This window comes from Homo sapiens, chromosome 9, assembly GCF_000001405.40.
Source record: "Homo sapiens chromosome 9, GRCh38.p14 Primary Assembly".
Lineage (NCBI taxonomy): Eukaryota > Metazoa > Chordata > Mammalia > Primates > Hominidae > Homo > Homo sapiens.
The window spans coordinates 129662133-129676951 of record NC_000009.12 but is presented as its reverse complement, the minus strand read 5'-3'; the positions used below and the strand labels follow the sequence as shown (position 1 = coordinate 129676951).

General features: G+C 57.5%; 1 protein-coding gene across 1 annotated transcript in view, besides 2 other annotated features; it reads right to left on the bottom strand.

Moving 5' to 3' along the window:
* PRRX2 (paired related homeobox 2) overlaps window positions 1–11305 on the bottom strand; it is a 57028-nt gene extending 45723 nt beyond the window's left edge. The window contains exon 1 of the mRNA NM_016307.4: window positions 10826–11305. Coding sequence (NP_057391.1) covers window positions 10826–11084 — 259 coding nt within the window. The 5' untranslated portion in view covers window positions 11085–11305. The remainder of the gene's footprint in view (window positions 1–10825) is intronic.
* Window positions 6793–7292: an enhancer, noted in NCBI's record as "H3K4me1 hESC enhancer chr9:132431939-132432438 (GRCh37/hg19 assembly coordinates)". NCBI's record gives its function as "activates a minimal SCP1, AML or CMV promoter by ChIP-STARR-seq in naive H9 embryonic stem cells {active_cell/tissue: H9 hESC(naive)}" and the evidence as "EXISTENCE:reporter gene assay evidence [ECO:0000049][PMID:30033119]".
* Window positions 7293–7794: an enhancer, noted in NCBI's record as "H3K4me1 hESC enhancer chr9:132431437-132431938 (GRCh37/hg19 assembly coordinates)". NCBI's record gives its function as "activates a minimal SCP1, AML or CMV promoter by ChIP-STARR-seq in naive H9 embryonic stem cells {active_cell/tissue: H9 hESC(naive)}" and the evidence as "EXISTENCE:reporter gene assay evidence [ECO:0000049][PMID:30033119]".
* Window positions 11306–14819: the final 3514 nt, after the last annotated feature.

Here is a 14819-nt window from a genome sequence, read left to right as displayed (position 1 = left end):
TGGCTTCACCATGAGGGGAAATGAAACAAAATGCCCATTTGTCTTTCTTCCCAACTTAGGGAGGTTTTCTCTGGATTTTTCTCCCTAGCCTAGGATGCAGCCCTTCTTTCTCCAGGTTTGAGGACAGAGCCCCTCTGAGCTGGGGGCATCACGCTTCGGCTTCTGGGGAGGCCCCGGGTCTCCCAGCACCCACACTTGGAATGATGTCTGCATCTGGAGGCCCCTCTGGCTTCCAAGCCCGCAGGGTTAGTGGTGGGGGCCTCAAGGGGTTGCCTGGCCTCAGTGAGGGCTAGGGAGCTCATCCTCTACATCAACTGTGGACTGGAAGCCGTCTGAGGGCAGGGGCCGGTTCAGACCCACTTCTGAATGCCTCAGTCCCTGCTTCACAGTGTCCTGAAAGCACATGGGCTCTGGCTTCTCCACCCCCTGTGTGACCTTGGGCAAGTCACTTAGCCTCTCTGAGCACAGGGTTCCTCAGCTGTAACCACGATTGCAGATACTCTTTCTTCTGAGCACTGTCTGGCTGCCTGCTGAGAACTCCACTTCCATCATCTCCCAAATCCATAAAACCTCCCTGCAAGAAGGTGTGACTCTTGTCCTCCCCAGATGACAAATAAGGAGCTTAGAGAGAAACTAGCCATGGTCCCTCAGCGGGCCAGAGGTGGGGCTGGAGCTCAAGATCTGGCTGTTGCTTCCCATGTTCTTGGCCATGCCACCCCTGATTCCCACCGTCCCAGGGCCCAACCCCTCGCCAACAGACCCTCAGACATGGGCTCTCAGCAAGGAGCGGGTGAATGACTGAGCAGGAGGAAGGACAGAAGGAGAAGGAGGCTCCCAGGTCCCAGAGGGTGCAGACCCAGCCCTGGAAAAACGGGAGGGTGCCAGACATTCTACACCCACCTGGGGTGGGAGCAGCCTCCACCTGAGGCTGAGTTGCCCACCGGCTGCCCACTGGCTGGACCAGCTGCCTGAGGCACCATCTTGAGAGCATTAGAGGGCTGCTGTTAACAGCTGTTTTCTGTTACGCGTTATTTGTTAGTCTAATGAAAGGAGGTGCACTGGCTTTCAAGACCTCGGCGTTCTGCGGGGTTTTATACGGGAGGCCCGCGCAGAGCTCTGGCGGCGAGAGAGGCTGCGAGGCCCCTGCCAGGCGCGCCCGCCTGGCGGCTCCCGCTTTGATTCCGAGGTTTGCAGCCATCCGCGTGGTAATTCCAGCTCTGGTTAAATGTCATTTTTAATAACGCCATCTCTGGCGTGTAAACGTCTGCGCCCACGGCAAGAAGGGAGGCCAGCGAGGGGGAGACCGGCAGTGGGGGAGGACAGACAGGGAGGCGGGGGTGGGGGCAGGAGGACAAAGTCTGGGGCAAGGCAGCCGCCCCCTGGGGGCAGTGGATCCCCATCCCCAAGAGAGCCCTTTGAGGGGACCCCATGGGGGAGGGAGGGTAGCAGGGGGGCAGGAGGTGCCGGCAGGATGCCAGGAGGGGGCTTGTCCAGTGGCTCCAGCTCAGCAGGGGTGCTTTTGACTGCCTCCTACACCCCAACCCTGGCCACCAAAGCTAGAGGGGGTCAGGATGCTGGTGAGGGAGAGACAGGAATCGTCCCTATCACATCACCCCTGCATTCCACGCCCCTGGGCTGCCTTGGGCTGGTACTCAGTAGGTGCTCAATGGATGCTGGTGGATGGTCGAGAGCAAATACTTCCTCCTAGACCCGGCAGTGCAGCTTTGGCACAAAATCCAGTCCCTGGGGATGCTGGGGCTTAGCCTCAGCGCAGCCCCCTCCCTCTCCTGTATACTGGACACTTCCGGGCCCTTCCAGGTCCAGAGCCAGCCTTATGCATCCTGCGGCAGCTCTGCCCGGCCTCTCTGTCCCCTCGAGAGGACCGCTTTCCACTCGGGTAAACTGAGGAGGGTAATGGAGGCAGAGTCAGCTCTGGAAGGAGCCCGCAGCAGGGTACAAGAATCGCTAGGCAGGGGGCTATTGAATGCAGACGCATAGGCCTAGGCTCCGAGTCCGATCCGGTGGGTCAGGGTGGGACCTGGGAACACGCACCAGCTCCCTGGGTGATTCTGACGCAGTGACTCCTGGGACCACACTAAATATGTCCATAAACAAATGTCCAACCTTCTTGTCTTGCAGATGGGGACACGGAGGCTCAGACCAGCCACAGGGTGTGTCTCAAGCTGTAGAGCTGGGCAAGGCGAGGCAGGAACCCCATGTCCTGACTCCTAGTCTGGGGCCCTTCTCACTGCGTCTTGGGCAGCAGTGTTACAGGAGGTCACCTGCCCTCACCTTGTCAAATCTCAAGCAACTGAGGTGTTCGCTCAGCTCTGGGGGCGGGGGGGTCCCTCTGTGGAAGTTTCCAGTCCTCACAGCCTGGGCCTCCTTCTCTGTCATTGTCTCACTCCCAAGTCTTCTCCAAAGACTGCGAGTTTTGCAGCCCACAGCCTGTTGCCCGGTCCCCAATCCTACAGGCCTCAGCTCCTTGGCTGCTCCATCACCCGTTGCCCCCACTCACTCCTAGCCCCTCCTACCGCCCCCAAACTGGAAGGTCCAGGCTGCCCATCCCACGCACAGAAAAGCAGAATCAATCACAGAGATAAACCAGAATAATATCTTCCAGAGACTGCTTCATTTTTAGGACACAAGGAAAGATATCATTAGCCATCAAGGGCGCCATGGGGACCCATTCTGTCATCTTGGTGGCCCCCCAGAGCCTGGCTGGGCACAAACAACTTCCGTGATGTGGAAGGGACACAGAGCAGGGCAGCTGGACCCGGGCTCAGGGCAGCGAGAGCAACCAGGGACCCAGTGCTTTCTGGGTCTCATAACAACCTCTGTTTCCAGGATCTGGTGCGATTCTGTGGCTCCTGGGTTCTGGCTAGAGCGGGGTGTCCTGGTAAGCCATGCTCCTTGGGAGGGGCAGCCGTGGCCAGCTCTGCCTCTTCCAGGCTGGGGATGCTCTGCCACCTGCCCCCCTGCCCCACGTCACCTCCCTACCTGCGGGATGCTGACCGCCGGGCACCCCATCTCTTCGTCTGCTCAGTGTGGGAGCCAGCAAGATAACCCCAACCTCCCTCTGTCTAAACAGGAAGCTCCCACGACTCTCTCCTACTCACCACCTCGCAAAAGGCACTTAACCCTTGGCCCGCACAGGTGCAGATGTATCTGCCCATCTACTCTCCAGCAGCTGCGGCCACCCTGACCACTAACAGCCAGGGCTCCATCAGGGGGCCGGGCTGGAGCCCTCGTGATGAGGGGCGTGTGTGTGCCTGTGTGTGTGTGTGTGTGTGTGTGTGGCATGGGGGGTATGGGTCTGTGTGTGTCTTTGTGTCTGGGAGTCTGGGAAAGCCAGACCATGTGGTTCCCAAATGCCAGCCTAGGACAAAGTTTTCACCGACAAAATGAGAAAAATAGGGGCAATAAGTGAGCTTTTTATGAAGCTAAATGAAGTCAATTTTGGGAACCTTTGTTTGTTTCGTTTTTTTATTTTTTGAGACAGGGTCTTGTTCTGTTGCCCAGGCTGGAGTGCAGTGGTGTAATCACAGCTCACTGCAGCCTCGAACTCCTGGGCTCAAGGGATCCTCCTGTCTCAGCATCCCGAGTAGCTGGGGCTACAGGTGCATGCTACCATGCCCAGCTAATTGTTTTTAATTTTTACTGTTTGTAGAGGCAAGGTCTTGCTACATTGCTCAAGCTGGTCTTGAACTTTTGGTCTTAAGCAATCCTCCAGCCTCAGCCTCCCAAAGTGCTAGGATTACAGGCTTGAGCCACCTTGCCCAGCCAAGAACCTTTCTGTACTCAGAGATGAAGATACTAAAAGGTTCTTTCTTGGATGAAAGGGTGGGAACATAGGGCTGTGAGTAAATGGCTTTTCTTGGCAAACCTTTAACGCTGTCCACTGTATGCCACTTCCTCTCAGTTACTGGAAATTTAACTGGACTTGAAAACTGGAAGTCTGGGAACCACAGGCCGGCAGTGGAACTCAAGGATTGACACATTATAGGTGTTCGGAAAATGACTGTAGAATGAATGAATGAATGAATGAATGAATGAATGAATGAATGAACAAGTGCGGGAGCTGGGGATGGAGGGGGAAAGGGAACCTGTCCTATTGCTGTTACACAGAGACAGGGACCCTCCACAGCTCTCGTGCATCCGGGCAGCTGGAGACAGGTGAGGGAGGCCGTTCCGGTTATTTCTGGGCAGGAGGGGAAGGGCATCACCCCCACACTCCCATGTCAAACACCCCAGCCCCGGGCAGTCCCCACTCTCCAGGCCTGACCCATCTCCCTCACACTTGGGACATGACCCAGGCCAGGTTGCTGGAGATATTAAGGAGAAACCCCCCAACCCCGGGCCACCTCACGGCCCCTGAATGCAGCCTGCGCCTGCCTGGGTGTGGACATCCCTGGTCAGGCCACCCCAGCATTCCCGGGAGCCAGGGGCAGCTTCAGGCAGTGGTAGAGATCAGGGGTTTTGGAACAGGAGGGCCAGGCTGGAATCTTACAGGAATGGGAACGGTGTGACCTTCACCTCACACCTCAGTTTCCCTCTTCATAAAATGGGCTTCACACGGCTGGCAGGAGGACAACTCCAGTGAGGCCTGTGATGCCCCAGCCGACATGCAGAGCACACAGCTGCTGTGCCCACGAGGCTTCCCGGTCACTCTCACCACGTCCCCTCACGCCTTCCTTCAGCCCCACCACGGCCACCCCCTTCTGCTCCACTGGCGCAGCCTCTGGCCCAGGGTGGTACACTGCTGTAAGGGTATCTTCAAGCAAGCATTGGGTCCCCTTAAATCACCCCCAAGGTCCCCTTCCACCCTGGGTGAGCCACTGTCCTTTAGGGTCTAGGAAACCACGGAAGTGCCCCAAGTTCTGCCGCGTCCAGCCTGACCCCACATTCTTGCCTGGGACAAGCCACCGCAAACCTTCCTTCCTGCCCCCACCTACTCAGAAACGCCTAACATAGGCACAGAGCCCGTTCCGTGCTGCCCCTCCCCTCCCACCCGCTTTAGTCCCCAACAAGCCTCAGCCAGAATCTCCCCAACAGCCAGGAGAGCTCCCCTTCCCTGACTCCTCCAGCCCAAGGACTGTGCAGGAGAGGGAGGCCTGGACTTGTGATCCAAAACCAAATCCCTCCTCTCCTTTCCCAGCTGTGAGGCCTCGGGCAGGTTGCTTTGCCTGTCTGGGCCTCTGACAGCCTCGCCTGACTCACAGGCCCTCAGAGAGCATCTCCAGGAGCTGCAGTGGAGACACTTTACTGTGGACTAGGCATGGTACCCAGAACCCTCACCCACTCAGGGCTCGACACGCCCTTTGAGGGATACCACAGCCCTTGTTCCTATCCCACAGATGGCAACACTGACTCGCAGGGTTCTTTTCAGGCCTCAAGGGAGGTGTGTAAGCCGGCGCTGTCACTACTGCTCCAAGCTGCTTTTCTGGAGTTTTCTGGGAGGGGACAGTGGTGGCTCCAGCCTGTTGAGTTTCTGCTCACAGAGAAGGGCAAGCCGGTCTAAGCCCCCTGTGCCAGGCCCCCAAGCTCCACCCAGATGATCTACTGGACAGAGGAGCAAGAGGTCCTGGAACCACAAATAATGAACCAACCCTCCCTGGCGAAAAGAAGGCCGAGATGCAGGCCACTGTCCCGCCCTAGCCACGCTGGGAGGCCCAGCAGTTCCCAAACGGAAGGCCCCCTGGGCACTCAGCCTCTCACTCACTCCTCCTCCCTCCCTGCTCCCCGGCTCCTGCTGAGACATGATCATCTGAGGGTCCAGGCACCAGGCCCAGCTCAGACCCAGGCTCAGAGACCCCACATCCCAGGGAGACACGCCCATCATGGGGTTCCTAAGCCTGAGTCAAATCATCTCAGTCGGGAGGGCCTCCCAACCCTTGTACGCCATCTCCCACTGTTCAGGTGGTGAACGAGGCACAGAGAGGTGACATGACACCCCCAAGGTCACACACGGAGAGGAAGGCAAAAGCAAGGACCCCAACTGGAGCATCCCAGCACCCCAAAGAATGCTCACTGACTGCATGACTCCCCTTGTCCCAGGAAATAGAGAAAGGGGAAGGAAGGGGAGAGGGGAGGGGAAGGAACGCAAGCTGCCTTTCAAAGGCTGGGCTCTGAAGGGACCCCTTTGTCTCTTCCTCCAAAGCCTGGCTCTGGTCTTGTGATGATGCCCTGTTTCAGCATCAGTTACAGGGAGGCCGGTTAAAAACCGAAGTTAGCCGTGGAAAACAGTATTATGGACCCTTAACACATTTAAAGGTAGGGCCGGGCACGGTGGCTCAGACCTGTAATCCCAGCACTTTGGGAGGCTGAGACGGGTGGATCACCTGAGGTCAGGAGTTCAAGACCAGCCTGGCCAACAAGGCAAGACCCTGTCTCTACTAAAAATACAAAAATTAGCCAGGTATGGTGGCACGCACCTGTAATCCTAGCTACTCGGGAGGCTGAGGCAGGAGAATCACCTGAACCCAGGAGGCGGAGGTTGCAGTGAGCGGAGATCACACCACTGTACTCCAACCCGGTCAATGGAGCAAGACTCCGTGAAAAACTAAAAAATAAAAAAATTAAAGGTAGAACTACCATAGAATGCAGCCATTCCAACACTGACTAGATATCCCAAATCATTAAAAGCAGGGACTTGTATACATCCACGTCCACAGCGGTGCTGTTCACAGTAGATGGGAACAACCCACGTGTCTGTAGATGGGTGAACGGATACAATGTGGTCCATCCGTACAGTGGAATGTGATTCGGCCTTCAGAAGGAAGGAGACTCTGACGCATGCTACACGGGTGAGCCCTGTAGACGTCACATTAAGTGAAATAAGACGGTCACAGAACGGCAAATACTGTAGGATTCCACTTACATACGAGATCCCTAGGGTAGTCAAATCCACAGAGACAGGAAGCAGACTGCTGGGTGCCAGGGGCTGGGGGAGGGGGAATGCATGTTCAAGGGGGTGCGGTTTCAGTTTGGGAAGATGAGAAAGTTCTGGAGATGGATGGTGGTGGCGACTGCACGACAATGTGAACGGACTTAATGCCACCGGACAGCATTCTTGTAAATGGTGAAAATGGTCAATCTGATGTTAGGCATCTTTTATCGCAATAAAAAATAATTGAAGGTAGGTCTGCCAGTCTCTTAACTCAGTCTCTTAACTCAGGCCCTGAGCTGAGCCCTGGGGACCCCCACCACAAACCAGACCCACCCCTATGAACAGATGCACCGACAGCCCCTCGAGGGCTCCCACCTCACCCTGCCTTGCCCCGTGCCTTAGATGCAAGCACTTCATCTTCCGAAATCTCTGGAAAATGAATCCACGTGGGATCCCAAGGTTTCTCCTGCAGTGAATCCTGGGGTTTTCCAAAGCAGGTACCAGCCCTGAGCACTGGCCGCCCAGCCTTCCCTGGCCAGAGGCCTCACCCCTGCCTGGCTCTAGGGGCTTTGTTTATTTTCCCAGTGTGTCCACGTCCCCGTTTCCACTCTGCCCACAGGAGGGAATGCTTTAGAGAAAATCTCAGTTATTAATGTGGTTTCTTTTGTTGTAAGTCATTGCAAAGGCAGCAAACCAGGGTTTGTTTTCCTAACGTGCCTGGTGCAGCCCTCAGCGTTTGACTGGCGAGGAAGGAACCCGCGACCCTGGTTTGTTCTGAGTCACTGGCGAAGCCACGGTCTTCCCGGCCATTTCTGGAGGGAGCCTGGTCTTAGAAAGTCATTGGCAGTAGCGGGCTTTATCTACTGGTGGCTTTGTGCAAACAAAAATTTTTAAATTAAAAAAAGTTTGAGCCTGCTATCCCAGCAGATTGAAGACGTATTAATTCCTAACTCATTGGTGTCCCCCATTAACCCTTATTTTTCTTTCTTTCTTTCTTTTTTTTTTCTCCTGCCTCAGCCTCCCGAGTAGCTGGGATTATAGGCGTCTGTCACCACACCTGACTAATTTGTGTAGTTTTAGTAGAGATGCAGTTTCACTATCTTGGCCAGGCTGGTCTTGAACTCCTGACCTTGTGATCCAACTGCCTCAGCCTCCCAAAGTGCTGGGATTACAGGTGTGAGCCACTGCACCTGGCTAACCCTTATTTTTCTAATGGGGGCACTCCCTCTTTGGTGCCATCTCTTTCTTTTCTTTTCTTTCTTTCTTTTTTTTTTTTTTTTTTTTGAGATGGAGTCTCATTCTGTTGCCCAGGCTGGAGTGTGCAGTGGTGCAATCTTGGCTCACTGCAACCTCCGCCTCCCGGGTTCAAGGGATTCTCCTGTCTCAGCTTCTCCAGTAGCTGAGATTACAGGCATGCACCACCACACCCGGCTAATTTTGTATTTTTAGTAGAGATGGGGTTTCACCATGTTAGCCAGACTTGTCTCAAACTCCTGACCTCTAGTGATCCAACCACCTCAGCCTCCCAAAGCACTGGGGTTACAGGTGTGAGCCACCGCCCCCGGCCAGACCATCTTTCTTTGGACCTGAAAACAACTCCAAGAGCCACAGGAAAACCCACCTCCAAGCATGTCTGGATCCGTGGTGAGGGGACCGGGCTCCTGTATGTCCAGGACTGGAGGATGATGCCGCAACCCAAGACTCAGCCCACTGGCCTGGGGTCTGCAGTCCCGGCAAGCCCAGCAAGGTTTGGCTGCCCACTTTCAAAGGGTCGATGATGGGGAAAGAAGGATCCCATCTCCCCCACCTTTGGAGCCTTCAGGACTTGGGAGTCCACAGCAAGTGGCAGTGGTGGGGCCGCCTGACCCAGATGGATGAGTTGGAAACTGGCGCCTGCCCTGCAGTCCCCTCTCTCCACCTTCTGCCTGTAGACCCAGATCCGGGCCACACCCCGGGCGGAGCCCAGGGACTCTCCCTGCCAGGGCTCCATCGTCCTCAGGGCAGAGCTAGGCAGCTTCCAAGACGGACCAGCCCACGAGCGCCTCCTGGAGCCTGGCCCAGACCCCACCCCACCTGATCCCACACCCAGTGTGTCCCAAGCATGCCTGGGTACTCCCAGTGTGCCAATGCCCCTTCTTAGGAGAAGGCCTGGAGGCCTCATGGGCTCTCCAGGAGGGTGGCTAGCCCCAGGGAGCTGCTGGGGAGACCCACTGCACACCCAGCTGCCTGGAGGCTGCCAAGGGCCTTGTCTAGGCGCCCACATCCCCAGCTGACACTAGCTGTTCTGGGATCCCCGGGGAAACCCGCCACCAGAGACCTCCAACACCGTGTCCGGGAGAAGCACGGCCTTCCCTGGCTGTCCCCACAGCAGGGGTAGGTCAGAAATGGGCAGGCCGTCCCCTGGCCAGGACTGGAGTACGAGACACCCTGGCCCCCTTCCTTCCCTCCTCACCCCTCTCTCCTCTCCCTTCCTTCCTCTTCCTCTGTCTCTCCTCCCTCTCTCTCTCCTTTCCTTGCCTTCTCCTTTCCTTCTTTCCCTTCACCTTCAAGTTGTTCCTCCTTCTCTTCCCAACCCCTGGAGTCTCCCTTCATCAGGGTAAACCGGGACCTCTCCTCTGTCCTGGGGTTGGGGGACCGGCTCAGAGCCGCTGAGGTCCTCAAATGACCTTGGGCCGGCAGGGCATTCCCCCAGCACAAACCAGAGGGCACCTGCTTTCCTCCGGGCCAGAGTGGACATCTCCCTCCCCTTTTCTACTGAGGAGCTAAACCCCAACTCCTGGGAGGTCTGCTGGCTTCACACTCACCCCGGAGGGTGCAGCCAGTGGCCAGTCCACTGTGGCCAGTGAGTGGTGGCCGCTGCCATGAGGGAGCCAGTGGCTTCATCTCAGCCACAGGCTGGCAGAAGGTGCCCCGTGAAAGGCAGGCGTGTCGCAGGCGTCCTCGTGGACGCACATGGATTCAGACTAGGCTGCAGCCACCTCTGTTTTCCCTGCACCTCCTGTCTCTGAAAAGCCAAGGAACGCAGCCACCAGCCTGGGCACCCTGAGACCTGGAGGCTGGTGCCGGGAACAGGGTCCCCCGGGGCGGGTGGGAGGGCTGCTGGAGTCAGGCGGGCACACTTCAGGGGCCCAGAGCCCCCAGCAGGCCGGCCCATCCCCAGAGCTAGGGGACAGGGGCCTGGTTTCAGATCACCGGGCCCCCATCCTTAGTGTGTGCTGAGCCGCGAGGACTCCGGTCCTCCCCTCCCCCACTGAACCGTCCGGGGCTGGGGCCTTTGCTTTTTCTCCATCTTCTCCCCGTCCCTCCCCTTCTTACCAAGGGCTCAGGACCCTGCCATCCTGTGTCACTTTTTGAAAAAGGCCACTTGGGTGGGTTGTTTGTTTTTAAAGCCCCTTCCTGATGACCTTTGACCTCTGCCGGGGAAGAGAGGCCTGGCTGGGCCGTTCCACCGAGGCAGCTGCTCCCGGGGCAAACTGGAGGGTGGGGGGGGGTGGGCAGGCACCCTCGCCCCCCAAAGAGCCCAACTTAAGACCGAGGAGGAGCTGGGGCGGCGCTAGCTCGTGCGGGAGGGGGCGGGTTTGAAACCCCAACGTGCAGCTCAGCGGCTTTGCCCGACTCAGGTCTCTGTTTCCCCAGTTGTAACCCGGCAGCAGCCACACCCACTTCCCAGGCTGTTCGGGAGCCGAATACTGGGGAGCGAAGGCAGCGCACTTCCCCGTGGGGACGCACCCCAAGACCCGAAGAGGGTCCCCCTCCCCCAGCCCAGAGTGCTGGTCAACCGCCGTCCACCGTCACTTACACGCGCCCCCAGAAGTCCTGCCGCCGACCACGCGCCCTGCATCTTCGCCCGCCCCGCGCCGGCTCCCCGGACCCCGCGCCCCGGCCCCGGCCCCGGCCCCGGCCCCGCCACCCCCGTCCCTGGCCGGCCGTACTCACCATCCTGCGGCGCCGCCTCGCTGCCGCTGCTGCCCCCGGACGGCTCCCGTGCTGCGCCCTCCCGCGCCTCGGCCCTGGCCCCGGGGCGCGCCGCCAGCCGCCCGGCCGCCGCCACCTCTTCCAGGTCCAGGAGGTGGCTCACCGAGAAGTTCTTGCGCGCCTGGGCGCAGTCGCCGGGCCCCAGCGCGGGTGGAGGCGGCGGCGGCCCCGGGCCCAGCGCCGGCTTGTCCAGGGCGAAGGCGGCGGCCGCGCTGTCCATGCCCGCGAGCGGCCCCGGGGGGGCCGGCGGGGGTCTCGGGCTCGGGTCCCAGGAAGGGTCGCGGGCGCGGGTCGGAGCGAGAGCCCCGGCCGCCCCGCGCTCTGCCCAGCTCCCGCCGCCTCCTAGCCTCGCGGCCCGCCCGGCGCTGACGTCGGGGAAACAAACTTTCCGCCCTCCCCTTCTCAGCCACGGCCGCTCGCTCCGGAGCCGCTGGTGCACGCGCTGCGCCGGCCACACGCCCCTTCTTGAAGCAAACCTCGCCCCCCGTCCTCTCCTCCGCCCTCTCCTCCCCGCGCGCCTCGCCCGCCCCCACCCCGGCTGCTGGCGCTGGGGGCGGGGAAGGGGTGTCCTCCCTTCACCCTCCCCACCCACTTTTTAGGGAGTGGGAGGTTCCGTGTTTTGTCGTTTTCCATCCCCCAAGTATCTGGGAGGTGATGGCAGAGGGATTCCCCCCTTCCCTTTACAATCGCCTCCGCAGGTGGAGGGGGCGGCCCAGAGACGAAGGCGACGAGCCCCCCACTCCCAGCTCCAGCCTCACTCGCCTCAGCGCCCCCAACAACGGCCCCGCCCGCCCGCGCTGGCCGACAGAGCTCTGTGCACACCACCCGCCCCAAGGCTGTCTCTCCCAGCAGGCAGCGCATCCTCAGGCTCCTGGGGTGTACGCGACCCCCCACCCCGCCTCTCCCCCGCTGCTCCCTGCCAGGTCCCCCACACACACCCACACACCCGGTGCCCACCCCCCAGGAGGCCCCAGGCCCTTCCCCAAGGAAAACCAAGCGGAGAGGCAGGCGCTTCGTTGCAGAATTCCTGGCGCACACACAGAGGACAGCCAGCCTGAGACGGGTGACAGGAAAGAGAGAGGCAGACTTAGGTGTCCGCTCTTGTTTCAGTTTTGTTTTTCAATGAAAGCACAGAAAAGATGTGCGGAGTGAGCAGACCTGAGACCCTAAGCCCCCCGGATGCCACTGCTCTTTCTCCAGGACAGCCGCTCACCGGCCCGTCCCTCTGTCGCCCTGCCCTCACTACGAGGCATAAAGTCACATCAGCCAAAGTCGCCTACCGGAGGAAGCCTTCAGCACATCCTTTCCCTGTTCCCATATGGAAAACCGGCCCGCACACATCCCTGAAAGCCTGCGGACCATTATTTTTATTTATTATTTATTATTATTATTTATTTTTATTTTTTTGAGACAAGAGTCTGGCTCTGTCGCCCAGGCTGGAGTGCAGTGTCGTGATCTCGGCTCGCTGCAACCTCCGCCTCCTGACTTCAAGCGCTTCTCCTGCCTCAGCCTCTCGAGTAGCTGGGATTACAGGTGTGCATCACCATGCCCGGGTAATTTTTGTATTTTTAGTAGAGGAGGGGTTTCACCATGTTGGCCAGTCTGGTTTCCAGCGTCTGACCTCAGGTGATCCACCTGCCTCGGCCTCCCACAGTGCTGGGATTACAGGCGTGAGCCACCGCACCCAGCCGGGAACACTATTTTTAAGGAAAGCCTAGCAATACATTATAATACATTAATCCTCACAGCGTGTGTTGTTTGTGTCCGCCCCCACCCCCTCCCGCGCTGGAAAGGAATCGACTTCAAAATGAGGCCGAGTAGGCCGGGCACAGTGGCTCACGCCTGTAATCCCAGCACTGTGGAAGGCTGAGGTGGGTGGATCACCTGAGGTCAGGAGTTCGAGACCAGCCTGGCTAACATGGTGAAACCCTGTCTCTACTAAAAATAATAATAATAAAAAAAATTAGCTGGGCATGGTGGCAGGCGCCTGTAATCCCAGCTACTGGGGAGGTTGAGGCAGGAGAATAGCTGGAACCTGGGAGGCGGAGGTTGCAGTGAGCCGAAATCACGCCATTGCACTCCAGCCTGGGCAACAAGAGTGAAACTCCATCTCAAAAAATATATATAAATTAAATTAAATAAGAAATAATAATTTAAAAAATGAGGCCGAGTGTCCCTGAAGTGTCTTTAGCCACAGCAATCCGTGCAGGTGCACACATGGGTAGGGAGGGTTTGGAGATGACGGGGTTCTCCGTCCTTGGACCTCTGCTCCAAGGAGTGTCCAGCAAGAAAGGCCAGCAAAGAGGCGCCAGTCTCCCTCATCCTAGGCGGCTGGGAGGAGCCCAGTCTGGGCACCAGGGCATACCCAGTGCTGCCCACAGTGTGTGTGGCTGAACCACTTTCTGAGGAACCGAGCAGGGTAGGGCCACTACTGGGCTCAGGATGTCTGGGAGGACCCTGCCCCTGCACCCAGCAAAACCCTCAGAGTGGAGGGGTCTTACCCAGGAAAAGCACAGCCCACTGAGTAGAGGCTTCATCCCAGAGGCAGAACAGTTTTGTGTTGGAGACAGGGTTCCAGCCCCAGCTATGCCCCTACTGCCATGTGGCCTCAAATTCAGCACCTTGGCCGGGCGTGGTGGCTCACGTCTGTAAGCCCAGCACTTTGGGAGGCCGAGGTAGGTGGATCACCTGAGGTCAGGAATTTGAGACCAGCCTGGCCAACATGGCAAAACCCCATCTCTACTAAAAATACAAAAATTACCTGGGCATGGTGGCATGCACTTGTAATCCCAGCTACTCGGGAGGCTGAGGCAGGAGAATCGCTTGAACCTGGGAGGAGGTTTCAGTGAGCCGAGATCGCGCCACTGTGCTCCAGCCTGGGCAACAGGAGCAAAATTCCATCTCAAAAAAAAAATCAGCACCTCCCCTCTCCAAGCCCCAGCTCCCTGACAGTGGAAGGCGCCTAATGAAGAGCCTGTCTCCTGGGCACAATGGGGACTCCATAGTAGGTGAACTTCTGGGCCCATGGCCTGGAACACACAGAGGGTACTGTTGACATTGGCCTGTGCAGTCAAAGGGCCTGAGGGATCATCTAGATCATTCCCTTGGAAGACAGATGGGAAAACTGAGGCCAAAAAAAGGTGAAAGCTCTTCTGGAGCTGGGAGAACCATGGAAATTGTTTGGTTTAAGCCCTTTTGTTTTACAGATCAGCAATGCGAGGCCCAGAGCTGGGAAGCGCAGTGTTCCGATCTCTCGGCATGGCCAGTGGCCACAGTGGCTTCTTCCACTCACTCCTGCAATTACTCATCCTACACATGTTGAGAGGTAACTCCATCTCTGTAGCATGATGGCTGTCTGGCACCAGCCTCCTGGGTGCAGATCAAGACCTTGCCTGAGCTTTGAGCAATCTATTTAGCCTCTTTCTCTTGGGGGCCTTAAATGTAAAATGAGCTGACTGGGTGTGGTGGCTCAGGCCTGTAATCCCAGCACTTTGGGAGGCTGAGGTAGGAGGATCTTTTGAGCCCAGAAGTACAAGACCAGCCTGGGCAACATAGTGAGACCTCATCTCTAGAAAAAAAAAGTAGCTGGTGTGGCAATGCATGCCTATAGTCCCCAGCTACTTGGAGGCTGAGATCGGAGGATTGCTTGAGCCTGGGAGGTTGAGCTACAGTGAGCTGTGATGGCACCGCTGCACTCCAGCCTGGGCAGCAGAGTGAGACCCTATCTCTCTTTTTTTTTTAATTTAATTTTATTTATTTATTTATTTATTTTTAGTATTTATTGATCATTCTTGGGTGTTTCTCGCAGGGGGGGATTTGGCAGGGTCATAGGACAATAGTGGAGGGAAGGTCAGCAGATAAAGAGACCCTATCTCAAAAAAAAAAAAAAAAAGAAAGAAAGAAAAAGAAAAAGAAAATGAGCTGTTAGGAGGATTAAATAAACCAATGTATAAAT